We start from the raw sequence: 16,248 nt of genomic DNA, 5'->3' as shown, positions 1-16,248 counted from the left end.
GTGTCTGCAATGGCCCAAGCGAAATCAAGACCTGGATTTTCTGGCCACAGAGCCCAGGGTGTCCAGATCCGGGTAACCGGCCTTGGAGGGTAAGCCCCTGGAGGGCTTTTAAGCACCACCCGAAGAAGACCTGGAACCCAGCCCCACCCGCTAGCGCCCCCAAACATTCTAGGGACGAAGAAAGGGTCAAACTGGAGCGGCGGAAGTTCGGGTCTTTGGCGTCAGTGTAAACAGACGCCACCTCCAATCTCAGCTGCAGAGCCGCTCGGCCAAGTGGATTCCGCTTCTCCCGCACAGGATTAATAGTTGACACTGCAGACAGGGCATTCGAACTCAGGATGCTGTCTACATATAAGATCCCAGGGCGTGGTGGCTCACGCCTGTAATTCCAGCGCTTTGGGAGGCCGAGGCGGGTGGATCACCTGAGGTCAGAAGTTCAAGACCAGGCTGGCCAACATGGTGAAACCCACTCTCTACTAAAAATACAAAACTAGCCGGGCATGTTGGCATGAGCCTGTAATCCCAGCTACTAGCGAGGCTGAGGCAGAAGAATCTCTTAAACCCGGGAGGCGGAGGTTGCAGTGAGCCGAGATTGCGTCACTGCACTCCAGCCTGGGCAACAGAGCGAGACTCCGTTTCAAAAAAAAAAAAAAAAAAAAGAGCCTAGCTGCACACAGGGGACCCTCGGGCGCTCAGCAGTGATGCGACAGTTCCTAAGAGGATGCACCAACGTATGTGGGTGTATCCAGGCAGCGAAGTGGTTAATCCCGCCAGAAGGGAAGCGGTGGGGACAGGACTCCGACAGGGATCGCCGGACCCAGAGCAAGCCTGGGGTTGAGTGGGTGGGTGGGTGAGTGGAAGCATTCCGCGTTGGGGGCGGTGTCTCGAGCGGGAGTTTAAAGTCCCGCGTGGCGCTGAGCCAATGAGAGTTGACGCCGGCCTGGAGGGCGGGGACACACCGTGCAGGCCCCGCCTCTTTCCTCCCTTTTCTCAGAAACCCGACGGCGCGGACCCAACCTGGCTGCTGCAGTACTTGCTCTAACTTTGCCGCAGCTGCCTCCCTTCTCTCGGAACCCACTCTCCTAACCCACCCCCGAGAGGCGGAGAGAATGTGGGAGCACTTCAGAGAGGCCTAGGCTCCGGAGATCGGGCCATCTGGGCTCTGAAAGCAAATTAGTTTTCCAACTCATGTCTGGCTCCGGCGTTACCCAGACGCCTGGAAGGTCCTTCCTGCAGTCTGATCACCATTTTTCCTGCTGCACTGACCAATCAGCTCCCCTTGGCCTTCAACCTCGGGAATGATGGATTAGGGGAGTCTAGAAATGGACGAAGCCCTAGGTGAGGGTTTGAATCCTCTTTTCCCAAGATTCAGGCTGGGGATGGAGCCTGAGTCTGGGCCCATTCTCGGCTTTATCTAAACTCCAGATTACCAAGCCTGGGGCTGAGCCCCAAGGAGGCTCAGAAGGGCCAGACCCCAGGCAGGGCCTTGGGGCACAGATATCATCACCTTCCCCTCTGGGATGTTTGGGACCGGACCTCCGTATTAACCCTGAACTTCCGTACTAACCCCTCAGAAACGCAGCTGAAGACGAGCAGAGGACGCTTCTCGGCTACAGAATCCCTCCCCACCTTGGAGGTAGGAGCTCCTGACACCTGAGTTTGTCCCCGCCTTCCCCACACTCCACAGCGATCCTCAGTGTCCCACTCCGTGCAGTGGACGCACGGCTCCTGCGCCTGCGCAGCCTCGAGACCAGCATCTTCTAAGGCTGCAAGGAGCTAAAAATCGCTCCCGCCCACCCACAAGCTGGGCTGGACTTGAGGATCGCGGTGGGGGGGCGGATGTTGTAGTGGAGGAGGTGGAATGAAGAGTGAGAAAGCTGTCTAGGTGCCTGTCCAATTAGGGCAGTAGGAAGAATCCTGATGGCCAGGCAGGTGCGTGGGGGACGCAGGGCGTCCTATGCCTCGGGAGGGGGCTCCTGGGGTGGTGAGGGGCGAGGTTGCCGCACAAACATGTTTACGCCTCCAGCGGCGCCGATGGCCCCGAGGGGCATGAGCCCTAGGGCAATAACTTTGCTCTGCGCCCCCTCACCCCTAGCCTGGCGAGGCGCCAGGGCGATGACTTCGGCCCCAGCCCCATCCCCCTAGGGCGGGCCAGGCGCCCCTCAGGCGATCCTCGAGGGGGAGCGCTAGGCTGCACCCCTCCGGCAGCTCCCTGGATCGCCGGGCGGCGCCTGAGGGGCGGGGTCCCCAGCGCGGCGGGACGCGCGGCCACAGCGTTCCCCGCGGTTAGCGTCCCGAACCTATGGGTGGGGGCGTCCCGGCTGACCCTAGTGCAAGTTCTCCCGCCTCCTGCCCAGCCCCGCCCCAGGGCGCCGACCCCTTCCTCTCCACCCGGGGCCCAGGCAGCCGCGTACCTGCAGCCTCCGGCGGCGGATGAGGCCCGAATCGTCCATGGCGGCAGCGGCGGCGACTTCGGCCCGGGGAGGGAGGAGGGAGGTAGCGGCGGCGGGAGGAGGGAGGAGGGAGGGAGTGAGAAGCCGCGGGGACCGCGGCGGCGGCGGCGGCGGCGGCTGAGGGGAGGGGTGGCGGGGGCGGGGGCGGAGCGAAGTGGGGCGGGCCCGGCGCCGTCACTGCGTCTGGGCGCCCGAGCCCGGGCTCAGCCACCGCTGCCCGCGCTGGCGGGGGGAAGGGGCGGGCGGGGGGGCGGAGCCTCCTGGTGCCCCCATGGGAGCCAAGCTGCCGAGAGACCACTATAAAAAGAGACACCCCAGAGGAGAGATATTCTCAGGGGTAGAACCCTCAGTCAAGAAACACCCCAAAGGAAGCCTTCTCCCTGAGATACATTCCCTCTACATTCATCCCCCAGAGACCCCCTTGGTGAGACACATTCCCAGGGGGAGATAGTTTCCACAGGGACGCCCTGTCCAATCAAGAACTCCCCCAACCCTGAAAATCATTCCTAATAGATATGGTCCCTGAGAGGTGACTTTCCTCTCAAAAGCCATCCCCCTCCCCACGAAAGAGGCATTCCCCGAAGAGAAAGATCCCAGGAGTAACAATTCCCGTGTAAAGGATACCCCCAATCAGAGACCCCTAAAAGCCATATCCTCTGTGGGAAACTGTCCCCACCCACGAGACCTCTACAGCCCCAGGAGAGATCTCATGCTTACAGAGAAACATTTTCACTGAGGAGACCCGTCTTCACAGGAGACGCAACCTCAGAAAAACATGTGCATACATATTATGCCCCCCCACCCACCTGCCCCACAATCAGAGCCTCCTCAGGGAACCCTGCAGCCCCTCTAGCGACCCCTCCCTCACGGTCAGGATTAAGGAGCCAGGCCAGGCCGTCTGTATTTATAGGAGCGATTAGCTGGTAGTTGGAGAGGGGGGCAGTTAAAGCGCTTTTCAGCTCCCTCGCCGCTCCTCCATGTTCACACAGGTGAGGCCAAACCCACCATGCTTCCCAAAGTTGGAGAGGAGAGTGTCCGAGCCCTCCGAACTCCCAGTCTTGGCACTGGGGGACAGAAGGGCTTCCCAAGGGGTGGTGGCCAGTATCTGGCCCCAAGGTCCCGGAGGGCGCGGTCGCTGGGTAACAGCGACCCCTGCTGGACGACGGGGGCGACGGCGAGGCTGGGTCCGGGTATTCACCAGGAGCTTGTCGCCTCAAGTCCGCGCCTTTGCCTGGGTTATCTCTGTCTGTCTCTGTATATGTTTGTCGGCACATTTGTGTCGCCGTCTCGCTGAGTCCCTTGCTGGCACATCTCTCCGTCCATGGCCCGGACTCCGCCCCTGGCGACCTATCTCACGATGGCGACCGCGGGAGCTCTCCTTGGTGCTGGTCTCGCGCGCTCCTGTCCGCGGTGCTGAAATCCAAGCGCAGGGTCGGGGGCTGAGATTAGGGAAGGAGAAAGGGTGCGGAGGCTCTGGCGTGAGGCATAGCCCAGAGGCTGAACAAATCTGACCCACAAGCATCCTGGACCACCTCAAGATGGACCAGGGGAAAGCTAGGTCCGGCAGGTCTTGCTTACTGAGGCCTCCAGCACATCACTGGGTGTACACAGAGGGACCCAGAGACGGTATCTACTGATTTGTTCACTTACCACATATTGAGTACCTACTGTGTGCAACGTAGTGTTTTGGGATCTGGGAGGGAATACAGCAATAAAAGAGAGACAAAAGCCTCTCTTGCCCTGAGATGAGAGGCACACGAACACTCACAGTCACATATTCAGTAAACACAGACACACAAACATTTATTCGAACATACTCTGCAAACATATACTCCACAAACACAGACCCACACATTCTGCAAATTAACACACATACAAACACATACTCAGCAAATGCAGACACACGCAAACATCCAAAAATACAGATACACACAAACTCACATCTGCAGCCATACAAACACATACTTAGGAAACACAGACATACACACAGTCATCCAATGCAAACACACACAAACAACACATATAAACACTTAACCAATGGAAGCACAGTCACATAGTTCCAAAACCAAGGGATGTCCAGTTGCACACAAATTATCATCTAAAACAGACAAATTATTCTCCCAACACAACACATAGACATACACACCCATACCCTCTGCAGGGATGTTTTTCTCATCTGATTCTCCCCCTAGAATGTCAGCTCTATGAAACCTGAGATTTTTGTGTCTTTTATTTTGAGTTTTTGTTTGTTTGTTTGTTTTTGAGACAGAGTTTCACTCTGTTGCACAGGCTGGAGTGCAGTGGAACAATCTTGATTCACTGCAACCTCTGCTTCCCAGGTTCAAACTATTTTCATGCCTCAGCCTCCTGAACTGCTGAGATTACAAGCATGTGCCACCATGCCCAGCTATTTTTGATTATTTTTAGTAGAGATGGGGTTTCACCACGTTGGCCAGCCTGGTTTCAAACTCCTGGGCTCAAACGATCCTTCTACTTCAGCTTCCCAATGTGCTGGGATTACAGGTGTGAACCACCATGCCTGGCTGAAATTTTCATGTCTTGTTCACTACTGCATCCCCAGAATCTAGCACACAGTAGGTGCTCAATAAATGTTTGTTGAATGAATGGATGAGTTAAAGGAGTGTTCACAAGCAACACACATTCACAGAAACTTCAGAAGGACACATAATGTGTGCACACAAACACATCCTGCTCAGCACATGACATTTCTTTGTTCATTCATGGTCAACCTTCATGGTCAAAAACCTTTATCCACTGACTTCCAACATTTTTGCAGGGACACTAACCCAATGCTACATTTCCCCTTCTCACATTTATTAAGATCCTGTTTTATTCAACTGCAAACACATTGCTTGGGACACACAATCCTCCCCCAGATTCTGAACGTATACACACACACACACACACACACACACACACACACACACACAACCACTCCACCAAGAAACACACATAAACATAACCTCATACAACAAAAACACACATACATGCTCAACACACACACAGCCACACAAACAAAAGACACAGGTGCCTGGGAACACACACAGGCTATAGGCCACACAAACACACCTTCCTCACACACATACACACACACACACACACACACACTCCCCACATATATAGATACAGAGCTTAAGCCACAAGCTGAACATAAAAACAAACACAAGGATATATACACACCAGCCCCAAGTCGGCCAGCCTTTGGTCAGCTGGAGTGTGGGCAGGACGGTGGGAGGTCCCGCCCCTGCATTAAGCCACGCCCCTTTCAGCAGCCAGTTTCCTGGACTGGATCCTGAGGTGTCTTAGCGGCCTCTAGACCCCAATCCAGCCAACAGGTGAGGGGCTGAATGCGGGGAGGCGGGAAGGGGACAGTCTTGTCTCCACAGACCGCTAGCTGTCCCTGCCTCGGGGCTTTGGGCCCCAGTGACAGAACCTGAGCCCTGCCACACCAGCCTTGGTCCCAAAGGTCCAGCTCTGGGTGGCCCCTAAGCCGATTGTGGGCCGAGAGAAGGTGACCCAGAGAAGGGCCGGCAGGGAGCGAGAGAGGGAGGAGGGAGGCCGCATAGAAGAGAGGGAGGAATTACTGAACAGGAGAGGGGGATTGGAAGACCTAGGGAGGTCCCCTTCATTCTGAGAAAAGAAGGGGTCTCTTGAAGACTAAAAAGGTGGGAGATCCTGCTGGATGGGAGGAGGGCCACTGTGGTCTAAGCTTGGTTGGGGTGGCACTGAAGGGACATAGAGGACATGGTTCTGATGGGAGGGGGGCTCCTAGGTTGGAGGCAGGCCCTGATGGTCTCCTGGGATTTGAACGTCCTTGGCCACTGCCCCAGCCTCCTCCTCAGCTGCACTTTCCCTACTCTGCCTGGCACTGCTTCTTGGGTATGCACTGGGTGGGTGCCACCCTAAGCTCACAGAAAGGGATGGCTGAACCCCACCCTATGCCTGCCAGCTCTTATCTCAGGTGGACATGGACTGCAGGGTCCACATGCGACCCATCGGCCTGACGTGGGTGCTGCAACTGACCTTGGCATGGATCCTGCTAGAAGCCTGTGGAGGGAGCCGCCCACTCCAAGCCAGGTCCCAGCAACACCATGGGCTGGCAGCTGATCTGGGCAAAGGCAAGCTGCACCTGGCAGGTGAGCACCCCAGACCCTGCCTCACCACCAACACCCAGAAACCCACACCTACCCTGCCATGACAATGTTAGAATTTCCTTATGAGAGGGGCCTAGCATGGCCACCAAGGTGGGAGGCACGGATAGTGCTGAAGAATGGTGGATAAGAATTAGACTGCCTGGGTTCAAATCCCAACTCTGCCACTTTGTAGCTGTGTGATCCTGAGGAAGTCATTTAACCTCTCTGGGTCTCACATGGACCCCCAAAAAGAGAGAAATAACAAATATACCTCGCAGAGCTGTTGTTAAGATTAAGCATATAAGCATATGAGCAGGGCTCGGTGGCTCACGCCTATAATCCCAGCACTTTGGGAGGCTGCAGTGGGCAGATCATTTGAGGTCAGGAGTTTGAGACCAGCCTGGCCAGCATGGTGAAACCCCTGTCTCTACTAATAATACAAAAATTAGCTGGACGAGGTGGCATGCGCCTGAAATCCCAGCTACTTGGGAGGCTTAGGCACGAGAATTGTTTGAACCTGGGAGGTGGAGGTTGCAGTGAGCCAAGATCACGCCACTGCACTCCAGCCTGGGTGACAGAGTGAGGCCCTGTCTCAAAAGAAAAAAAGAAAAAAAAAAAAGGAAAAGGATTAAGTATATGTGTCACTACCAGGCACATGACAAGTAAGTTGATTATTATAAACAAGAAATGATTATTACTACTTGAAGCTGCATTTGCATTCCAAAGGAAGGGTCTTAAGTTATGGGTTTGTGAGGATTGATGTAATTGTTGTCTCCCCTGTCCAGGGGATCCCCAGGCCTCAGTTCCCAAACCTTACCTGAATATCCAAGACCCTAGCTCACAGGGTTCCCCTTTGCCAGGACCTTGTTGTCCCTCAGAGATGGACACAACAGAGACATCGGGCCCTGGAAACCATCCAGAACGCTGTGGAGTGCCGAGCCCTGAGTGAGTACAGCACCCTCCACCGTTTTCTCGCGTACTTTGCCCATTGCCCAGGAACTCCCTCGGGTCCTGACCCATCCGACCCTATCTCTCCCAACGTCCAGATGCGAATCCTTCCTGGAACACCTCCAACGTGCCCTTCGCAGTCGCTTCCGCCTGCGGCTATTGGGGGTACGCCAGGCACAGCCGCTCTGCGAGGAGCTCTGCCAGGCCTGGTAGGAGACGCGGGGGCAAGGGGCGTGGGTTGTGACTTGGGCGGGGAAGAGGGCGGAGCCTGCAGTTTGCTTGGCCTTCTGTGTAAAGGGGAGTGGCCTCCAACAGGGCCAAGGTTTAAGAGATGCAGCTTAATGTTTAGAGCCCAGGTAGATAGGGGCGAGGCATGAGAAGCCCCCAGCTTTTAAGATACCTGCCATATGGCAATGTGGCTTTTCATAGCCCTGCGATTTCTTTTCTTTTCTTTCTTTCTTTTTTTTTTTGAGATGGAGTCTCACTGTGTCACCTAGGCTGGAGTGCAGTGGTGCAATCTCGGCTCACTGCAACCTCCACTTCCCGGGTTCAAGCGATTCTCCTGCCTCACCCTCCTGAGTAGCTGTGGTTACAGGCGCACACCACCATGCCCGGCTAATTTTTGTATTTTTAGTAGAGACGAGGTTTCACTATGTTGGTCAGGCTGGTCTCAGACTCCTGACCTCGTGATCCGCCCGCCTCGGCCTCCCAAAGTGCTGGGATTACAGGCGTGAGCCACCGTGCCCGGCCTTTTTTTCTTTTTTTTTTTTTTGAGATGGAGTTTTGCTCTTGTCGCCCAGGCTGGAGTGCAGTGACACGATCTCAGCTCACTGCAACCTCAGCCTCCTGGGTTCAAGTGATTCTCCCGCCTCAGCATCCCTAGTAGCTGAGATTACATGCTTCCGCCACCACGCCCGGCTAAATTTTGTATTTTTAGTAGAGACGGTGTTTCACCGTGTTGGCCAAGCTGGTCTCAAACTCCTGACCTAGGTGGTCCGCCTGCCTTGGCCTCTCGAAGTGCTGGGATTACAGGGGTGAGCCACCATGCCCAGCCAGGCCCTGAGATTTCTTAAGGAGTGAGTCCTCTTGATTGAAAAGATAAGGTAAAAGGGTGGGTGCCTGTAATCTCAGTCGTTTGAGAGGTCAAGGCAGGAGGATTGGTTGAGGCCAGGAGTTCAAGATCAGCCTGGGGAACATGGCAAGACCCAGTCTCAACAAAAAATTTAAAAATTAATTAGACATGGGCCGGACGTAGTGGCTCATGCTTGTAATCCCAGCACTTTGGGAGGCCAAGGTGGGCAGATCCCCTGAGGTCAGGAGTTTGAGACAAGCTTGGCCAACGTGGTGAAACACCGTCTCTACTAAAAACACAAAAATGAGCCAGGCGTGGTGGTGGGCGCCTGTAATCCCAGCTACTCGGGAGGCTGAGGCAGGAGAATTGTTTGAACCTGGGAGGCAGAGGTTGCAGGAAGCAGAGATTGGGCCACTGCACTCCAGCCTGGGTAACAGAGCAGGACTCCATCTCAAAAAAAAAAAAAAAAAAAATTAATCGGACATGATGGTGCGCACCTATAGTCCCAGGTACTTGAGACACTGAGGTGGAAGGATTGCTCCAGCTTGGGAGGTCAAAGCTGCCATAAGCCATGCTTACGCCACTGCACTCCAGCTTGAGTCACAGAGCAAGACCCTGACTCAAAAATAAATAAAAGGAAAACGAAAGAGTGGGAAAATATGAGGGACTGGCCTGTAACTAATGGTCTGAGGTCTGTAGGGACAAGGCCAGTTGTGACGTGGCCCAGAGTATGGAAAGATCTGATAGAATATGGGGCAGGGTGAAATCTGGAGAGATGGGGTTAGTTAGCAGGGGAGTGGTTCTAAAAGGCGGGGCCTGGATCCGAGGTGGGGGCATATAGTGAACACAGTCTAGAAGAGCCAGAATCGCGCTGGAATGTAACTACAAAGGCTTTACCCACCTCTCCACTCGCCATCTCCAGGTTCGCCAACTGCGAAGATGATATCACCTGCGGCCCGACTTGGCTCCCACTCTCAGAAAAAAGGGGCTGTGAGCCCAGCTGCCTTACCTATGGACAGGTGAGCGTGGGGCAGAAGGTGAAGGGAAGAGACTGAGATCCTCCCCACCAAGTTATTTATTTATTTATTTATTTATTTCTGAGACGGAGTTTCATTCTTGTCACCCAGGCTGGAGTGCAGTGGCGCGATCTCAGCTCGATGCAACCTCCGCCTCCGGGGTTCAAGTGATTCTCCTGCCGCAACCTCCCGAATAGCTGGGATTTCAGGCGCATGCCACCATGCCCAGCTAATTTTTGTATTTTTAGTAGAGTCAGCGTTTCACCATGTTGGCCAGGCTGGTTTCGAACTCCTGACCTCAGGTGATCCGCCCACCTCGGCCTCCCAAAGTGTTGGGATTACAGGTGTGAGCCACCGCCCCCGGCCCCCACCAAGTTCTTTCTTACCGTGTCTAGACCCCAGAGACCGGATTGGTACTCCCCAGGTCCCTGCTCCCACCCTTCCCTAGCCCAACCTCCTACTGGGTTGTGCCCTTTGACCCCAAAAGCTCTCGAAGTCCAGATTTGCCCTTCCCAAGAAACCATTCCTGCTCTGGGTCCATCCACATTTTACCCTGGAGGACCCAGAAGCCCAGTCACTCTCTACAAAACCCCAGCCTTGATACAGACCTCTCTGCGCGCCCCCCAACTGCCCCAACCCTGATTCATCCCGCTAGGGCCCAGTAAGAACATTCACCCTCCCCAAGGACCTGCCCCCACTCACGTTCCGCACATAGACTCCCAGGCCGCACGCTCCGGCTCTGACCCCAATCCCTAAGGAATTTACACATTTTTCCCTTCCCGAGGCCACGCCCCCCACGTCTCTGGACTCCGCCCACTAGGGCCTTAACTCCACTTTTTCCTAGACCTTCGCAGACGGGACGGACCTTTGTCGCTCGGCTCTGGGCCACGCCCTACCGGTGGCTGCTCCTGGAGCCCGTCACTGCTTCAACATCTCCATCTCCGCGGTACCTCGTCCCAGACCAGGACGACGGGGCCGGGAAGCTCCCTCCCGGCGTTCCCGCAGCCCTCGCACCTCCATCCTGGACGCTGCGGGCAGCGGGAGTGGCAGTGGAAGCGGCAGCGGCCCCTAGCGGACGCGTGGCCCTGAGTTGGGGGAGCGACCCTTCCCCCAGCCCCGCCCCTCAGGACACCCAGAACCCCACCCCTCGTCCTCTCGGCCTTCTGTAATAGTTTTGAGATGTCTGTCCCTCCTCCCTGGAGCTCCAGAGACCCACCCCTCTCCAGGTTATCCCAGAAATGACCCAACTCTCTCACTTTTCCCTCTCCCCTTTGAATAAAGTCGCCAGCTAGAGCACGTGACGAGTGTGGCTGCTTCTTGGGGAAATAAGTCGGAAGGAGAATTGCCAGAAAGTAACGGATGTCTCACGTCTAATCCTCAGACCCTAGAAGTAGTGACTGACTCATACTAGAGTGTAAATGATAGATAGCCTGTGCCCTAGAGCAGTCAACATAACTGGGAATACCCAGTTGTTGGAAATGGAGAGGGGGTCAGAACAGGGGCTGACAAGGGCAGGAGGGGTTCCTTCCCACTGTGTGCCACCAGGGCTGCCAAGAAGCTGCCTAACTTGTATAGGCCTCAAGACACACTTCAAGGCCAGGTGCAGAGGCTCATGCCTGTAATCCCAGCAATTTGAGAGGCTGAGGTGGTTGGATTGCTTGAGCCCAGGAGTTCAAGACCAGGCTTCGCAATACGGTGAGAACCTGTCTCCACAAAAAAAAAAAGAGAGAGAGAGAAAGGAAGAAAAAAGAAAAAGAAAAAGAATATTTTTAATTGGCCCAGTGTAGTGACCCGTGCCTGTATTCCTACCTGCTCAGCAGGCTGAGGCAGGAGGATCGCTTGAGCTCAGTTCAGGGCTGCAGTGAGCCACGATCACACCACTGTACTCTAGTCTGGGTGACACAGTGAGAGCCTCTCTCTCAAAAAAAATAATAATAATAAGACATGCAGACACAGAATACCAAGCTGGCCCTGGTAGTATGTGCTGTACTCCCAACTACTTGAGAGGCTGAGGTAAGAAGATCACTCGATCCCAGAACATTGAGGCTACAGTAAGCTATAATCCTGCCACTACACTCCAGCCTGGGCAAAAGCCAGATCCCAGCTTTTTATTTATTTATTTATTTTGAGACTGAGTTTCGTTCTTGTTGCCCAGGTTGGAGTGCAATAGCAGGATCTCAGCTCACTGCAACCTCCTCCTCCCGGGTTCCAGTGATTCTCCTGCCTCAGCCTCCCTAGTAGCTGGGATTACAGGCACCTGCCACCAAGCCCAGCTAATTTTTTGTATTTTTAGTAGAGATAGGGTTTCACCATGTTGGCCAGGCTGGTCTCAAACTCTTCACTTCAGGGGATCCACCCACCTTGGCCTCCCAAAGTACTAAGATTACATGTGTGAGCCACCACGCCTGGCGTTTTTTTTGTTTGTTTGTTTGTTTTTTTGAGACAGAGTCTAGCTTTGTCTCCCAGGCTGAATTGTAGTGGTGCAATCTTGGCTTACTGCAACCTCAGCCTCCTGGGTTCAAGTGCTTCTCGTGCCTCAGCCTCCAGAGTAGCTGGGATTGCAGGCACACACCACCACATCTGGATAATTTTTGTATTTTTAGTAGAGATGGGGTTTCACCATGTTGGCGAAACCTCAGGTGATCCACCTGCCTCGGCCTCCCAAAGTGCTGGGATTACAGACACAAGTCACCATTCCTGCCCAAGACCCCATATTATACATGTACAGACTACAGAATTTGGTGGGAATGACCCCGTGTAGCGTCCACCTGTGTTCACAACCCAGCTCTACCACTTACTTATGCTGTAACTTCGGTTTCACACGTTGCCCAGATTGAGCCTCAGTTTCTTCATCTTTAAAATGGGAATGTGGGCCAGGCACGGTGTCTCATGCCTGTAATCCCAGCACTTTGGGAGGCCGAGGCAGGTGGTTCATTCACTTGAGGCCAGGAGTTCGAGACCAGCCTGGCCAACATGGCGAAACTCCGTCTCTACCAAAAGTACAAAAATTAGCCAGGCAGCCGGGTGCGATGGCTCATGCCTGTAATCCCAGCACTTTGGGAGGCCAAGGCGGGCAGATCACGAGATCAAGAGTTCAAGACCAGCATGACCAACATGGAGAAACCCCATCTCTACTAAAAAATACAAAAATTAGCCAGGCATGGTGGGGCGCACCTGTAATCCCAGCTACTCAGGAGGCTGAGGCAGAAGAATCGCTTGAACCTGGGAGGTGGAGGTTGCAGTGAGCAGAGAACGTGCCATTGCATTCCAGCCTGGGTGACAGAGCAAGGATCTGTCTCAAAAAAAAAAAAAAAAAAATTAGCCAGCTGTGGTGGCACATGCCTATAATCCCAGTTTCTTGGGAGGCTGCGGTAGGATAATCACTCGAACCCAGGAGGTGGAGGTTGTGGTGACCTGAGACAGTACCACTGCACTCCAGCCTGGGTAACAGGGTGAGACCTTGTCTCAAAAAGAAAAATTACAATAAAATAAATAAAATAAAACGGAAATGCATTCCTTTCACAGGATTGAGAAAGGAGAATTCAGTGAGTTAGTGCAAGTTTTTCTGCTTATCTAACACTGCATACCAAACAATTCCAATATAGTGATGAAAAAAAGGTCACTAGGCTGGGCGTGGTGGCTCATGCCTGTAAGCCCAGCACTTTGGGAGTCCAAGGCGGGCGGATCGCAAGGCCAGGATATCGAGACCATCCTGGCTGACATGGTGAAACCCCGTCTCTACTAAAAATACAAAAAATTAGTCGGGCATTGTGGCAGGCACCCGTAGTCCCAGCTACTTGGGAGGCTGAGGCAGGAGAATGGCATGAACCTGGGAGGCAGAGGTTTTAGTCAGCTGAGATCACACTACTGCACTCCAGCCTGGGCGACAAAGCAAGACTCCATCTCAGAAAAAAAAGTCATTATCGGCTGAGTGCAGTGGCTCATGCCTGTAAGCCCAGCACGTTGGGAGGCCGAGGCGGGCAGATCACCTGAGGTCAGGGGTTCAAGACCAGCCTGGCCAACATGGTGAAACCCTGTCTCTACTAAAAATAAAAAATTAGCTGGGCATGGTGGTGCGTGCCTGTAATCCCAGCTACTCAGGAGGCTGAGGCTGGAGAATCACTTGAACCCATAAGGCAGAGGTTGCAGTGAGCCGAGATCATGCCACTGCGCCCCAACCTGGGTAACAGAGCCAGACTCCGTCTCAAAAAACAAAACAAAAAAAAAGAAACAACAACCAGCACTTTAGGAGGCCGAGGCAGGTGGATCACGAGGTCAGGAGTTCGAGACCAGCCTAACCAACATGGTGAAACTCCATCTATACTAAAAATACAGAAAATTAGCCGGGTGTGGTGGCGCATGCCTGTAATCCCAGCTACTCAGGAGGCTGAGGCAGGATAATTGCTTGAACCCAGGAAGCAGAGGTTTCAGTGAGCCGAGATCACGCCATTACACTCCAGCCTGGGTGACAGAGCGAGACTCCATCTCAAAAAAAAAAAAAAAAGTTACTATCTTTCATGGTTCTGGGGTTTGACTTGGTTCAGCTTGGCAGTTCTTCCTGAAGATCTGTCATATACTTGCAGACACAGTGGCTGGGGCTGGAATCACGTTGAAGGCTTCCTTGCTCACATATCTGGTAGTTGGTGTTGGCTGTTGCCTTGAACTTCTGCTGGGGCTGTTGGCCAGAATATCTGCACATGGCCTCTCTGTGGCTTGGGCTTCCTCTCAACATGGCAGCTACGGTCTAAGGGAAATATCCCAAGAGAGCAAGCCAGGTGGGATCTGTTTCAGTTCTGATGACTTAACCTTGGAACTCACACAGTGTGACATCTCTCACTTTTTATTCACTACAGTGAGTCACTGAAGCCAGCTCATATTCAAGGAGAGGCATCATAGACTCCACCTCCAATGGGGGGGATGTCAAATAAAATGCTTAGAAAGTGTGGCACACAATTATCACTCAATGAATGTAGACCGTCTATTATGATTGCTTCTGGTGGATGATGTTACATACTGGGTTACTGATGTTATAGACTGTGTTATTGTGACAAGGAGGAGGAACAAGCATTCAAGGAAGTAAAGCAAGTCTTTAAAGGATCTCCAGTCAGATAATCAAGCCATGGAGGACATTCCAAGTGAAAGGCCTGGAGATTTCATATTCTGGGAACTCTGAGCTGACCAGGAAGCCTGGGATAGACCATGGGAGATGGGATCTGGTCCTGGAAGACACTGGATGCCAGGCAGAGACACTTGAACCTGAGGATAGAGTGTGATGTACCAGGAGCTGTGGCTCACACCTGTAATTCTAGCACTTTAGGAGGCCGAGGCAGATGAATTCTTTGAGGTCAGGAGTTCCAGACCAGCCTGGGCAACAGGGCAAAACCCCATCTCTACTAAAAATTAAAAAAATTAGCTGGGCATGGTGGCACACACCTGTAGTCCCAGCTACTTGGGAGGCTGAAGGTGGGAGGATTACTTGAGCCAGGAGGTGGAGGTTGCAGTGAGCCATCATCTGCCCTCCAGCTGAGGCAACAGATGGAGACCGTGTCTCAGAAAAAAAAAAAAAAGAGAGAGACAGGAGGGTGTGATGCAAGGTTTGGCAGTTCGGGCTACAGTCTCAGCTACTTGGGAGGCTGAGGTGACTGTATTGCTTGAGGCCAGGAGATTGGGAATAGCATGGGCACCATAGCCAGACCTCATCTCCAAAATAAAAAAAAAAAAAAAAGTTAGGCTGGACAAAATTAGGTAGGACAGCTCACGCCTGAAATCCCAGCACTTTGGAAGGCTGAAGCAGGAGAACTGCTTGAAGCCAGGAGTTCAAAATCAGCCTGGGCAACATAGTAAGACCTCATCTCTACCAAAAAAAACAAAAACCAAAAAAAATTAGCGAGGTGCAATGGTTTGTGCCTGTAGTCCCACATACTCAGGACCTCATTTAGAAAAGGAAACATGTGAAAGCCATAGGTTTTTTGTTTTTGTTTTTTGAGACGGAGTCTCGCTCTTGTCACCCAGGCTGGAGTGCAGTGTGGCACGATCTCGGCTTACTGCAACCTCTGCCTCCCAGGTTCAAGCTATTCTCCTGCCTCAGCCTCCTTACTAGCTGGGATTACAGGTGCCTGCCACTATGCCTGACTAATTTTTGTACTTTTAGTAGAGACGGGGTTTCACCATGTTGGCCAGGCTGGTCTTGAATTCCTGACCTCAGGTGATCCACCTGCCTTGGCCTACCAAAGTGCTGGAATAACAGTCATGAGCCACCGTGCCCAGCCTTGTTTTTGTTTTTTTAAAACAGGGTCTCACTCTGTTGTTCAGGCTCTTAAGTGCAGTGGTGCAATCTCGGCTCACTGCAGCCTCAACCTCCCAGGCTCAAGTGATCCTCCCACCTTACCTCCCCAAGTATCTGGGACTACAGGCGCTCACCACCACGCCCAGCTGATTTTTGTATTTTTTAGTAGAGACAGCGGTTTCACTATGTTGGCCAGGCTGGTCTTTAACTCCTGACCTCGTGATCCGCCACCTTAGCCTCCCAAAGTGCTGGGATTATAGGCATGAGCCACTGTGCCTGGCTGAGACCCTTTTTTTTTTTTTTTTTTTTTGAGATGGAG

The 16,248-nt window shown here is 53.2% G+C and overlaps 1 protein-coding gene and 1 long non-coding RNA gene across 9 annotated transcripts, besides 11 other annotated features; one reads left to right on the top strand and one right to left on the bottom strand.

Annotated features, from left to right (window-relative positions):
* RTBDN (retbindin) lies at positions 993-10,939 on the top strand. Of its 8 annotated transcripts, none has more exons than NM_031429.3 (7): positions 993-1,338; positions 1,575-1,636; positions 6,424-6,610; positions 7,468-7,552; positions 7,654-7,764; positions 9,550-9,646; positions 10,488-10,939. In NM_031429.3, the coding sequence occupies exons 1-7, from the start codon at positions 1,323-1,325 to the stop codon at positions 10,713-10,715; spliced, it is 786 nt and encodes a 261-aa protein (NP_113617.1). In that variant the 5' UTR covers positions 993-1,322; the 3' UTR covers positions 10,716-10,939. The 8 variants fall into 8 exon arrangements, with proteins under 8 accessions (NP_113617.1, NP_001257369.1, NP_001257371.1 ...); NM_001270440.2 differs by having other exon boundaries at positions 9,755-10,939; NM_001270442.2 differs by lacking the exons at positions 993-1,338; positions 1,575-1,636 and adding an exon at positions 1,842-1,932 and having other exon boundaries at positions 6,436-6,610.
* Positions 1,355-1,884: an enhancer, noted in NCBI's record as "H3K4me1 hESC enhancer chr19:12945351-12945880 (GRCh37/hg19 assembly coordinates)". NCBI's record gives its function as "activates a minimal SCP1, AML or CMV promoter by ChIP-STARR-seq in naive and primed H9 embryonic stem cells {active_cell/tissue: H9 hESC(naive and primed)}" and the evidence as "EXISTENCE:reporter gene assay evidence [ECO:0000049][PMID:30033119]".
* Positions 3,080-3,662: an enhancer, noted in NCBI's record as "H3K4me1 hESC enhancer chr19:12943573-12944155 (GRCh37/hg19 assembly coordinates)". NCBI's record gives its function as "activates a minimal SCP1, AML or CMV promoter by ChIP-STARR-seq in primed H9 embryonic stem cells {active_cell/tissue: H9 hESC(primed)}" and the evidence as "EXISTENCE:reporter gene assay evidence [ECO:0000049][PMID:30033119]".
* Positions 3,080-4,070: a biological region, named in NCBI's record as "CRISPRi-FlowFISH-validated PRDX2 regulatory element 6". NCBI's record gives its function as "regulatory_interactions: PRDX2".
* Positions 3,330-10,688, bottom strand: RTBDN-AS1 (RTBDN antisense RNA 1). Its single transcript, NR_187779.1, has 3 exons — positions 10,509-10,688; positions 9,529-9,636; positions 3,330-3,866 (listed from the first exon to the last, which is right to left on the bottom strand). It is a non-coding gene; the product is annotated as an RTBDN antisense RNA 1 (long non-coding RNA).
* Positions 3,510-4,070: a transcriptional cis regulatory region, noted in NCBI's record as "genic|chr19:12943165-12943725 region (GRCh37/hg19 assembly coordinates) targeted for CRISPR interference". NCBI's record gives its function as "negatively regulates PRDX2 gene expression in K562 cells {active_cell/tissue: K562}" and the evidence as "EXISTENCE:mutant phenotype evidence [ECO:0000015][PMID:31784727]".
* Positions 3,540-4,015: a silencer, noted in NCBI's record as "fragment chr19:12943220-12943695 (GRCh37/hg19 assembly coordinates)". NCBI's record gives its function as "represses an EF-1alpha promoter that drives an FKBP-Casp9 reporter gene in an ReSE screen in HepG2 liver carcinoma cells {active_cell/tissue: HepG2}" and the evidence as "EXISTENCE:reporter gene assay evidence [ECO:0000049][PMID:32094911]".
* Positions 3,708-3,857: an enhancer, noted in NCBI's record as "active region_14086". NCBI's record gives its function as "activates an Ori minimal core promoter by ATAC-STARR-seq in GM12878 lymphoblastoid cells {active_cell/tissue: GM12878}" and the evidence as "EXISTENCE:reporter gene assay evidence [ECO:0000049][PMID:35858748]".
* Positions 5,871-6,372: an enhancer, noted in NCBI's record as "H3K4me1 hESC enhancer chr19:12940863-12941364 (GRCh37/hg19 assembly coordinates)". NCBI's record gives its function as "activates a minimal SCP1, AML or CMV promoter by ChIP-STARR-seq in naive H9 embryonic stem cells {active_cell/tissue: H9 hESC(naive)}" and the evidence as "EXISTENCE:reporter gene assay evidence [ECO:0000049][PMID:30033119]".
* Positions 7,737-7,896: a silencer, noted in NCBI's record as "silent region_10176". NCBI's record gives its function as "represses an Ori minimal core promoter by ATAC-STARR-seq in GM12878 lymphoblastoid cells {active_cell/tissue: GM12878}" and the evidence as "EXISTENCE:reporter gene assay evidence [ECO:0000049][PMID:35858748]".
* Positions 10,145-10,921: an enhancer, noted in NCBI's record as "H3K27ac-H3K4me1 hESC enhancer chr19:12936314-12937090 (GRCh37/hg19 assembly coordinates)". NCBI's record gives its function as "activates a minimal SCP1, AML or CMV promoter by ChIP-STARR-seq in naive H9 embryonic stem cells {active_cell/tissue: H9 hESC(naive)}" and the evidence as "EXISTENCE:reporter gene assay evidence [ECO:0000049][PMID:30033119]".
* Positions 10,145-11,290: a biological region, named in NCBI's record as "CRISPRi-FlowFISH-validated PRDX2 regulatory element 5". NCBI's record gives its function as "regulatory_interactions: PRDX2".
* Positions 10,490-11,290: a transcriptional cis regulatory region, noted in NCBI's record as "genic|chr19:12935945-12936745 region (GRCh37/hg19 assembly coordinates) targeted for CRISPR interference". NCBI's record gives its function as "positively regulates PRDX2 gene expression in K562 cells {active_cell/tissue: K562}" and the evidence as "EXISTENCE:mutant phenotype evidence [ECO:0000015][PMID:31784727]".

The sequence above is a fragment of the Homo sapiens genome, chromosome 19 (assembly GCF_000001405.40).
Source record: "Homo sapiens chromosome 19, GRCh38.p14 Primary Assembly".
NCBI classification, from domain to species: Eukaryota; Metazoa; Chordata; class Mammalia; order Primates; family Hominidae; genus Homo; species Homo sapiens.
Note: the sequence above shows the minus strand (reverse complement) of the source record. Positions and strands in the feature narration are given on the sequence as shown.

Excerpts from the sequence above, each read along its gene's own strand:
- RTBDN (NM_031429.3), top strand. Across the intron at positions 6,611-7,467 it reads AGGCAAGCTGCACCTGGCAG|GACCTTGTTGTCCCTCAGAG; the intron begins GTGAGCACCCCA and ends CCCCTTTGCCAG. Across the intron at positions 7,553-7,653 it reads TGTGGAGTGCCGAGCCCTGA|ATGCGAATCCTTCCTGGAAC; the intron begins GTGAGTACAGCA and ends CCCAACGTCCAG.